Here is an 11230-nt window from a genome sequence, read left to right as displayed (position 1 = left end):
CCCTCCACATAAAAACCCCTTGTCCAGCACAAGGAAGGACAATGAGAACCTTCCTAGTAGCTCCACAAAGACAATAACCAAATGATGACACAAGAGTGGCTATTCAAAAAGACTTTGATTTTATTTTGTGATCTGTGTCAAACTGCCTCATTCTCAGTGCAGGTGATCCCTCCTCCCCAGAAACAAGAACTGACAGGTAGGGTCTTTGTGAAGTCATGGCTTCCACAAGGCCCCAGGGAAACCCCACACAGTTCTGAGAGTTGATGGGAATCCCAGCAAAGATGGGGTGGGTGGGAGACAGTGACAAGAAGGGGTGGTGGTCACCAGTCAAGAGGCTGGGGGTTGGAAAACCCTGTCTTTGGCCTTGCTCAGCTTTGGGGCTGCCATGTTCATGATGGAGATGGGGGACTGAAATTTCCCCTGACCTGGAAGTACCCCTTCGGCCAGGCATGGCTTTGATTCTCTGCTAAGGGCTCAGCTGAGAGAGGAGCAGGAAAATGTCATGGGCTGGCTTCTTCACAAGGCATTGCTGCTGATGCTCCGGAGTCCAACACCACGGGCAAATTGCTCCAGCAGGCCCCCGATGGCACCGGAAGGACTGGGGGCTACTGCCCGAAGCCCCACTGTGCTGCTGTACGCAGCCAAGAAGGCTGAGCGCACCTCCTGCAGCCGAGTCTCTCGATCACTCAGGGCTGCAAGCCTATGGGGAGGTCAAGAGAAAGAACAAAGACATTACCCTGGGACAGGACCCAGTATCCTCATCCTCCCTCCCTCCATACCACCTGTCCTTGTGCTTCTTCTGACTGTACAAGGCCAGTGTCTGTCCTACGGCCATGCTATCCTTGTGGTTCAGGCCCCAAATATCTGGCCCTGTTTTCCCTTAAACCATTCCTCTAAGCCCTCAGGCTACTGTTCCCACCTAGAGCAGGAGCTTTTACTGGGACACTAACCTTTTTTTTTTTTTTCTTGAGACAAGGTCTCACTCTATTGCCCAGGCTGGAATGCAGTGACACAATCAGCGCTCACTGTAGCCTCAAGCCATCCTCCCACCTCAGCCCCTCAAGTAGCTGGGACTACAGGCACATGCCACCATGATAGGGTTTTACCATGTTGCCCAGGCTGGTCTCAAACTCCTGGACTCAACTGATCCGCCTGCCTTGGCGTCCCACAGTACTGGGATTACAGGCGTGAGCAACTGTGCCTGGCCTGACCTGACCTGTTGTGAAAATAACTATCTTTGCGATCACTGGGAAGGAGGGTAGCTAAGCAGGAGGGAATTTGCCCCAGCAGCTCTCTGCTTCCACTCCTCAGGAAGAGCAAGCTGAGGCATGAAGTCTTATACCTAACAGTAAGGAGGCCCCTGAAATCTGGCAGCACGCTGCAGCTGTTGAAAGTCCTCAGCCTTGGCTGTAATCCCAGCACTTTGGGAGGCCGAGGCAGGTCAGGAGTTCGAGACTAGCTTGGCCAACATGGCAAAACCCTGTCTCTACTGAAAATATAAAAATTCACTGGACATGGTGGCATATGCCTGTAATCCCAGCTACTTGGGAGGCTGAAGGCAGGAGAATCACTTGATCCCGGGAGGCAGAGGTCACAGTGAGCCAGACTGCACCACTGCACTCCAGCCTGGGCAACAGAGTGAGACTGTGTCTAAAAAAAAAAAAAAAAGAAAAGAAAAAAAAGGCCCCAGCCTTGAGGCCTAGACATGACGCATCTTAGGAGGAAGCTATTGCCCTGGAAGAACCCACTGTCTGCTGGGTTGAAGCCAGGGTTCCCCACTGGAAACCTCTAGGGCTTTAGCTACACCTTCAGTCACTGTGGTTTCCAGGTAAACAGCTGAAAGGGTGCTGGCTTTTCCAGAAAGATCTGTGTTCTGATTCTATTCCCCATTCCTCTCTTGGCCTCTGTAGGCTCTGATCACAGATGAAAGCCCCTCTTCTTTCCTTACCCTGAAATTACAAGTCAAGAAGGGAAACAAGTGCGCACAACTCAGGCTTATCAAAGCATGACTCCACATGAGGCTGTGTGACATCCCCAAGGGCCTTTAATAGAAGAGGCCCATGGACTCTGGACTCAAAGTTCAGGTACTCACATAGTGTTCCCCCAATGGGTCCCTGGAGGGCCCTCTCTAGGGGTCACAGACTTACATGAGAAGAGCCCTCACATTCCCATACACCTAAATACTAAGACCATCCATGCCTACTAATCTTGCTCCAAATCTGCCCTCAAGAAACCAATCCCTGGACAGTCCCTCCCTGGAAATCTGTCAGAGGCAGCTGAAGTGAACCCAATCCCAACGGCTCAATGACTTGTACCCAGGGCTTGTGGGAGCAGAGGGATGTCTGAGGATAAATGACAGTCCTGAGGTAAGTATGGGGGGAGATAGACAGGACTCTAGGGAAAGCAGATCGGTGGGAGTGAAATGTGAGAGATGGAAGCAGTAGGCTCTGGGGCAAAGAAAAGTCAAATCACTCCTGCAGCAGCACTAAGAACATGGAGCTGAGACTGGATTCCTGTACTACCATCAACAATCCTGAAGTCTCTCCTGGCAACTGGGGAAGAAGCATGGCCTGAGATCTTTTTACTTTCTAATTTCACACAGGCCAAAGGCCATGCATGCTTGCCTTAGCTTCTCCTTATAGCATACGAGGGAGAAACAGACCAAGAGTTTACACTCACAGGGAACATCCAAAGATCCATACATGAGCATTCTCACTGCCCTGCCCCACCCCCCTGACATGGCTGCCCATTTCTGAGAGGTGAAAGGGACAGAGACCACCACCTACTGAGAGATGAGAAAAGAGGAGAGGTTATGTGACCCATTTAAGGACACACACCAGGCAAGGGAGGTACTACAGTGCCATTCCTTCTTGAGAGATGAGCTAACAGGCTCAGAAAAGGCAAGGCTGACACTTGAAGATACAGCTGGTGAATAGAGCAGCTAGGATTTGGCCTTAAGTTTTTCTGATAACAAAGCCCAAGTGCTGAACCCACATGCTGCACGGCTTCACAGGAATCAACTCTGACCACATCCCACAGTCTTGCAGGCCTTCAGATCATACGGAATCCAGCCCTCCTCTGAGAACCTCCCAGAACTAAAGGCTTGGCTAGCAGCTTAGAGTGCTGCCTGGGGCCTAAATTGTAGGTTCTAGGGTGGGTGATCTGGGGCTGGAGTTGCCTGTTTCAGTGGCTAACCCCAGGTAAGTGAGGAGTGCTATCAAGCAGGGATATCTGTGCTTCCTTCAGAGATGGCTCTTGGGCAAATGGGGCTGGAGTAGGAAGTCTTTACAGAAAGGTGCAATTTTTTTTTTTTTTTTTTGAGAGAGTTTCGCTCTTGTTGCCCAGGCTGGAGTGCAATGGCATGATCTCGACTCACGGCAACCTCCGCTTCCCAGGTTCAAACGATTCTCCTGCCTCAGCCTCCCGAGTAGCTGGGATTACTAATAGGCATTCACCACCTCGCCCAGCTAATTTTGTATTTTTAGTAGAGACGGGGTTTCTCCATGTTGGTCAGGTTGGTCTCGAACTCCCAACCTTAGGTGATCCGCCCGCCTCGGCCTCCCTAAGTGCTGGGACTACAGGCGTGAGCCACCATGCCCGGCCTGCAATTTTTTTTTTTTTAAGCCTTCGAACATCTAAGATCTTGTTTCTAGCCTAGGGGCTGGCTGCAGAGGAGGCTGTGCCAGGCACAGTGACCTCAGAAGCTCTTTGATGACTTCACAGCTGCAGAGCCAGGACCTGTGCCATCCTGGAATTTCAAGGTCTGACTGGCTCCTGACTGCCCTCAGCTAGGATCCAGGGCCCCCTTTCCCTTCCCAACTCCCCAAGGCACCCTGCCTCCCACCTGCCAACAGGGGTGGGGGGATGAGCTGGATTGCGGTGCTGGTGGTAAGGCCCCAGCATGTGCCATTCATCCAGCCCATGGTATGGAAGGCTTGCTGAGAGGCCCTCAGGCACCACAGCTGAGGAGCAGGGCTTGCTCCCCTGGCCACCAGAGGCTTTCTCCTGCCTGACATCCATGAAGCGGCAGAACAGGCCAGGGGCAGGTGGTTTCCCCAGAGGCAGCTGCTCCAGTCAGGTGGACACACTGTTAAGGGCTGGAAACTCAGGGTTTTGTAGGTGTGGGATCTAGAATCCCCATCCAATTCTTATTCCTGCCCAGAGGCAAAAACAGAAGACAAGGCGGGTAGAGACAGCAAGTAACCCTAGGTTCTGCTCAGGAGCAAAGCTTCGGGCTAACCCAGCACCACTCTGGCTCTGGCCTCCACCATACACCTACCTTCACTATCCCACTGTTCTGCCTTCAAACGATTCTCATGTCAGGCAAAGGCTTATACAGAAATAGAATCTTCTATAGTTACAGTCCAGCAGCTTTCCCTTTGGGTGCACCTGAGACACCAGTGGATGGGTTTTAGAGGCTGCAGAGTGAACACACAAACCAGTGCACTTCCTGACCAGCCACAGGCCTCCTTCATACCTCGGGTCCAGCAGCTGAGAGAGGGGAGGGCAGGAGGCCAGGCCAGCTCCTGAGCGCCAGCCTCATTCCTACCCAGCACTCCTGACTGCTCACCAGCTTTTCCCATGGGCAGGGGAGCATCCTGCCTTCTCAAGCAAGACACTTACAGACAACTGTTAGGGAGCTCATCCGGGAAGCTGAAAGGGAGAGAGGAGTCTGTGTGCAGGACAGCCCGCTCCTGAATACTGCCACAGCCCGTTACCATCTGCCAGCTGCCATAGTCTGTGGAGAGAGAGGATCCGGGCAGGGGATGGTCCACTGATCTGGGGCAGAGAGGAGAGAGAGGGGAGAGGATGCAGTCAGTCATATGCCTGACACAGGCTCTGGAGGGGGCTAGGGGACTAGCGCAGCCCTGGCTGCTAGGTTCTGTTGTCAATCACTGTCTCCAAAAGTCTAAAAAAAAAAGCTGGACAAGTAGTGACCGAGAAAAAAGAATAGATCACCAGGTAAGCTCAGCTGTGAGGACAGTATTTTGTGCAGACTTACTGTGGAAGCAAAAAATGAGAACAAAGCATGGCAGTAAGAGTGAATCGGAGCCACAGCCTGGGGCCAGGGCATGCCTGCGCTGGGAGTGAACACGGCAAGGACAATCTCAACAGCACCAAAGGAAGGCAGCAAGGCTAGCACCCAAATGAAGGTGACCCAGCAGCCAGCCGGGTCACCCATACTTGCTGGCATGCAGATTTGCAGGGTGGGCAACACAGAACCCAGGAGTCCCATCAGAAGAGACAGTACGGGCCTCTTGGGGATTGTGGAGGGTATGACCTAGACTCAAGAGTGATGGAATGGGAGCCCTGAGGTCCCCCCTTTCTCTGCAGTGCCTTCCAGGTGCCATAGTTTGTATTCAGAAGCATCAGCCCAGCAGACTCAGTGGCTATGCCCAGAGGGAAGGGATGAATCAGGCAGGCAGCCTGACAGCTTCCTCAGGCCTTCTTCAGATGGAGGTTTTGGGGGTGGGAGGAAGAAGGTTGTGCTGGGAATCTACCGCTTCCACCTCCTCCCCACTCACAGCCAACCCCCCTCTTCTGTCCTGGGCAGTAGTCCAGCCAGTGTGGGTCGGGGAGGCAATAGGGAGACATCAAACAAGGCCCTTCCACCTGCTACCCCAGGTCCCAGTCCCCAGGACATCATCTTTGATGCTTGACCCTTTATTCTTTCATCCAAAAACAGCAGGAGGTACTCCAGTAGGGATCCAGAAACAGGAATGAAGAGCAGGGATTGGGGGTGGAGAAAAATGTTCACTGCCCTTGGCTCCCCCAGCTGGCTGATGTCAAGGGCTCCTAGTCTGAGGTGACAGCCCGACTGGTCACCGTGCTAGTCTTATCCCCAAGCAGCTGCCACTGGAGTGCAGCCAGCCAGGCACTGCAACTCTGGCAATCCTTAACCATCCCCATCTGTAAGACAGGTGAAGACACCTGCTTGAGGTATCACAGCTAGACAGTGTGAGAAGAGGTTTCTGTTTTTGTTTTTCCCTGCTCTTGTCGCCCAGGCTGGAGTGCAGTGGCGTGATCTCAGCTCACTGCAACCTCTGCCTCCTGGGTTCAAGCAATTCTCCTCAGCCTCCCAACTGTAATCCCAAGTAGCTGGGATTACAGACGCCCGCCACCATGCCCGGCTAATTTTTTTGTGTCTATTTTTAGTAGAGATAGGGTTTCACCATGTTGGCCAGGCTGGTCTTGAACTCCTGATCTCTGGTGATCCGCCTGCCTCAGCCTCCCAAAGTGCTGGGATTACAGGCGTGAGCCAGTGCGCCCGGCTGAGAAGAGATTTTTAAAACCAAGAATGATTACACATTTGTCCTGAAACAGAACCACCTTGGGACCAGGGAAAACAGATGGTTTTCTATGTTAAGGCTGCCATAAATCGGAACCCCCTACAACATACAGACTTGTCACATTCATCATTCCTGCTAAACTCTAGAAGGTGCGTGATGGCAGCATTAGGGATGAGAACGGGATATGGTCTGTCACCTGACGGAAGCCCCTAGGGCCCGACAGAGCAGGGCTTCCTTGTTTCTAGATGGAGAAACTTGGGCTCAGGCAGTCTGTAAATCAAAGAGACAGCTCCCCAGGAGCAGCCTGCCCTGTGCCCCCTCCAGGTCACACCAGGCCTTCAGCCGGCACAACCCTGAGATGCATCCTAGCTCCACAAATCTCGTCTATTGTTCAAGCTGCAGGGTAGAATCTTTTCCAGTTCTAGCAGCTTGTGGGAAAACAACAGCTAAAAACCAGAATGTTGAGGGAATGGAAGGGATGCTGACTAGGTTGAGGCACAGCTGGGGCTGGGAGCATGGGGAAGTTTCTCAGGCCCCAAAACCACTCCCCAAGAGCCAAAGAGTAACACTGGCAAGGGAAACATGACCAATGGGATGGAGTTACTGACTGGCTCCCCTCAAGGATTCCAGGTCCCCTGGGCTTGTCACTTCCCTTTACTTCCCCCATGTCTCAGTAGGTAACACCGGCCAAGAACCGCACTTGCAGCAGCTGTCGGATGGATTAGGCAGCACAGACAGCAGCAGGGTGTGTGATCCCAGGGGACAGAAGCATCTCTCAGCAAGCAGCCATCTTCTGCAGACTCTGGGATTTTTCAAGAGTGAGCACACTGGCTACAAAGGAGTCTTCCTACGTGAGGCCTTTGTCAAAGGAAGGGCTACAAAGTGACCATTCAGCTCCTGGGGTTGAGAGCAAAGGGCCATGCTAAGCAGGAAGGTGTTCACAAATACCACCATGGATTAGCTGGCTGCAGGGGACACCTACAGTGCATCATGTCACCGGGAGTAAGGACCTGTGCCCACATACTGAGAAGGGAGGAAAAGCCTTCCAGTCAGTCTAAGAACACAGGTAACTTAACCAGCTTCAACAAGAGCCCAAAGTCTTTTGCCCTGAGCAGCAAACAGAGGGATCCAAGCTCCACCCCCTCTGCTCTCCCACTACAGGACTGGAGAGAACATGGGACCAAGCAACCCTCAAACTGGATGGTGGCGGAGCTGAACAACGCTTCAGAGGTCACCTGTCCACATCCCAGCGGCTCAGACCTCTGCCTAGGAGGGTGGGAGCTCAGCAACATTTCACTTCCTTAGTTGGATGCGGCTCAGGGCCCTCTTCACAGCACCCAGAGCTGCAGTTCCTACCGGCTCCCAACTCCCCCGATGCCCTGCTGATGGCCAACTCAGAGCAGGTGTCTTTTAGCTAGTCCTTTCTGGAAGGGGGTACAAGAATACTCACACAAACCGAGCTGGCTCAACCCAGGCAAGAATACACAGGTCGGGATGGAGGCCTGGCCTTTTACGCAGCTGCCTAGTGCCATGACAGAGCCTACAGGCTCTCGGACAAATGACTAAGGCCAAGTCCTTAACCACAGCTACAGTTTACTGAGCATTCGTGAAAAGGTATCTACTATGAGTATTTACTCCATCCATCCCAGTCCATCCCAGTCCATCCCAATCCATCCATCCATCCATCCATCCATCCAATCTATCTATCTAATCTATCTTTTGTATTGGCAAGGTCTCACTATGGTGCTCAGCCTAGTCTTGAATTCCTGGGTTCAAACGATTCTCTGACCTTGGCCTCCCAAAGTGCTGGATTACAGACATGAGCCACCATGCCCAACCCATTATTTCATTTTAACCCAAACTTACGGGAGGGGGGCCTGAATCATTTTTCCCCCTTTAAAAACAGGATAAAATAACTGAGCTCAGAAAGGAAGTGATTTTTCCAAGTCAGACAGCTAGGACTGCAAAGCTACGACGGAAACCCAGGTCTGACCAAAGCCCTTGCTGATAATATACTCATCTTTCTTCCTGATAAGGGGTGGGTGACTCAGAAATTGGTTCATGGACCACCACGTAACCTCCAACGGGAGTAAAGCACACAGCTTCTACCTATAACTGAAAAAAGAGGCTCTCATCTGACCCTGGATGTGAGAAAGGAAGCAGCGTGTCATCCTGGGAGGTGCTGTCAGCCATTTTGCCACCATCAGGGAAGCTGGCCAGAGAACAAAGCTAACATGCAGGAGGCAATGGGAACAAACTACGGGGAAATAGAGCTGGAACCTTGATCAGGCTGCACCTGAAGACTGATTTTCCACTAGGCTTTTCCATATACAGTTGTTCCTTATTATTCCTTTTTGTTGCAGGGAATTGGTTCCAGGATTGCCACCCACTTACCACCCCACCAATACCAAGTCCTTGGATGCTCAAGTCCCTTACATAAAATGTAGTAGCACAGCTGATCCTTGAACACACGCATGAACTGCACAGGTCCACTCATATGCAGATTATCTCCTGCCTCTGCTGCCCTACACAGCAAGACAGCCCCTCCCTCTATTTTTTCCTCAGCATGAAGACCTTTATTATGATCCACTTCTACTGAACACACAGGAAATATAGGTTCCCTTCCTTATGATTTTCTTAACATTTTATTTTTCTCTAGCTTACCTAAAAATACAGTATATAACAGATATACAAAACATGTGTTAACTGACTTTATGTTATTGGTAAGGCTTCTAGTCAACAGCAGGCTATCTGTAGCTTTTGGGGAGTCAGAGTTATACCCAGATTTCAACTGCATGTGTAGGGGACAGCCCTAATCCCTGCATTGTTCAAGAGTCACTTGTATTTGCATATAACCTATGCACATCCTCCCATATGCTTTAAATCATCTCGATTATCTGATACAGTGTCAGTGCTCTGTACATGGTTGTTACACTGCATGTTCACATCTGTATTACTTTCTATTGTTTATGTTATCTTGAATGTTTTCAATCTGGTTGGCTGATCATGGATGTGGAAACGACAGATATGGAGGGCTGACTGTAAATGTGTTTCCTTTATTGTTTCGGTCAGTTTGAAATGTGTTTTCTGTTACTTGCATTTGAAAACATCTGACAAGGCTGATACAGAAGGTTTGAAGGTATACAGCTAGGAAGGACCTTGGCGTTACCTAAGCCTCTGATTACACAGATAAGAAAATGGAAACCCAAAGTCATCAAGTGACATGTCATGAAGTCACACAGAGTTAATACTTGAGCTAAGATATAGAATCCTGGGCTCTGAGGGGACCTGGCTGTCACCTAATCTAAACTTACCCTGCTCCCACCCACAAGCAGACAGCCTAAGACAGAGCTCGTTGCTCAAAGAGCAGTTAGCAGGTGGTGGTGGCTGGGGGAAGAGTAGCTAACTGGGCAGCAGAGGTTGGTCCCTGTGTTGCTACTCAGCTATTCAACCAGGCTGCTGGGCATCCCTCCGCAAACTTCACCTGCTCTTCAGGTAGCCTGGCTTCAAGCTGGGCTCAGTGGTGGCACCAACCCTCCTTGGGCATGGACAATCCTGTGCTAGCAACCTCCCTACTCCTAAAGGATGCATGACTCCAGAGCAGAGGCCGAGGCCGAGGCCATGCAAGGTGGAGCGACCTGCTAACCAGAGCTGGGGGAGGCATGTGAGCTCAGAGCATTGGTCCTGGCCTGTCCCAGCCCTCAACCCTGTCGCTGATGAGAGATTTAACAATGGTCCAGAAATGCAACTTAATCAGAAGCTGCTGCAGCAACAACAGCTAACAATGATTAAAAACCACTGGGCTTGCCAGTAAGGGCTGTGGGCTCGGGGTTAGTAAGAATTGGCACCCCACAGAACTTTCTTCCCAACCTGATTCATACCTACTACTTAACTTTGAACAAAGCTTCACAGATTCATTCCATGGGGGAATCCTGCTTTAAAAGAGAGATGCCTGTAGAATTTGGAGTGTATAAAAACCCAAAGAATTCACATTAGGAGAATTTTGGCTGTCACAGACAGCTTCACTAAAAGGTTTCTTTCCAAACAGCTTCTCCTACCACATTAAAGACCTCACAGGCTATTGTTACCTAAGAAGCAGGGAGGGTAATGACAGGATCCCTTAGGCACTTTAAGATAAGAGACTAAATTAATTTTAATGGTAATGGAAATACATAATTAGAATGCTCCAAATCTGAGTAATCTAGACTTTCAAAACCTCTGACCAACAGGCATCCAAGTCAGAAGAAGTCTGGCTCCAGACAGGCATCCCCCAAACAGACCAGCGGAAAGATCAAACACCTCACAGCTGCCCACCCCACACCTTTCAAAGCCTTGCACCCATCTTGGTCCAGCTATCCCAAGCTTGGCCAAGCCCCCATGTGCAGGGCTCTGAGGTCAGGAGGACAACCCCAATTCTCCTCAGCCTCCCAAGAGGGGGCCTTGGTGGCCATCCTGGACTGGCTACAAGAGCCTGAGACACGCCCTGCAAGCAGAAAGTCACCTGTGAGACTGAGGGACACTATCACAGGATTGGAAAGTGGGATCTTTTGGCAGGCAGGAGATGGAGAGCCAGGGTGTGGTAACGGGTGATGGGGTGCTGCCTCAGCTTGGGAGCTCACTGCATTCTGGGCAGTTAAGACTGAGGCAGGACCCAGAGGACAAGAGGAACCTCTGGTTTCCTCCCTAGTTGTTCAGCAATGCTGGACAGGCAGAAAAGGGGGCAGGAACCATGACCTAGAGCCACAGCCTAGAACAGTGAGGGTCAAACAGTGCCACTGCAGCCTCAGAGTGGCCCTGAGGACAGCTGGGCACAGACAAGGGTGGTGCGGCAGCAGGCATGCACACACAGGATGGGACGGGGCACCGGCACATGGGCTTGTCTGTCTGGCCCCATCTCTGCCCCACCACTTCCACCACACCTCCCATGGGGCCAGACGGCG

The 11230-nt window shown here is 51.4% G+C and overlaps 1 protein-coding gene and 1 long non-coding RNA gene across 52 annotated transcripts in view; one reads left to right on the top strand and one right to left on the bottom strand.

Annotated features, from left to right (window-relative positions):
* MTMR14 (myotubularin related protein 14) overlaps positions 97-11230 on the bottom strand; it is a 52889-nt gene continuing 41755 nt past the window's right edge. For 27 of the 51 annotated variants that reach the window (NR_174508.1, NM_001400521.1, NM_001400526.1 and 24 more), the window contains one exon: positions 97-700. Coding sequence is in view for 39 of the 51 variants with exons in the window: in NM_001400521.1 (NP_001387450.1) it covers positions 517-700 (184 nt within the window). In the remaining 12 variants the exon portion in view is untranslated. Of the gene's footprint in view, positions 701-2079; positions 4155-4279; positions 4780-11230 lie in introns of those variants that run through there. The other 24 variants (NR_174504.1, NR_174503.1, NR_174507.1 and 21 more) reach the window with 2 other exon arrangements.
* Positions 1998-8986, top strand: LOC124909344 (uncharacterized). Its single transcript, XR_007095816.1, has 2 exons — positions 1998-2084; positions 6965-8986. It is a non-coding gene; the product is annotated as an uncharacterized LOC124909344 (long non-coding RNA).

This window comes from Homo sapiens, chromosome 3 (genome assembly GCF_000001405.40).
Source record: "Homo sapiens chromosome 3, GRCh38.p14 Primary Assembly".
Taxonomy (NCBI): Eukaryota; Metazoa; Chordata; class Mammalia; order Primates; family Hominidae; genus Homo; species Homo sapiens.
The sequence above is the reverse complement of the archived record's forward strand: the minus strand, read 5'-3'. Positions and strand labels throughout refer to the sequence as shown.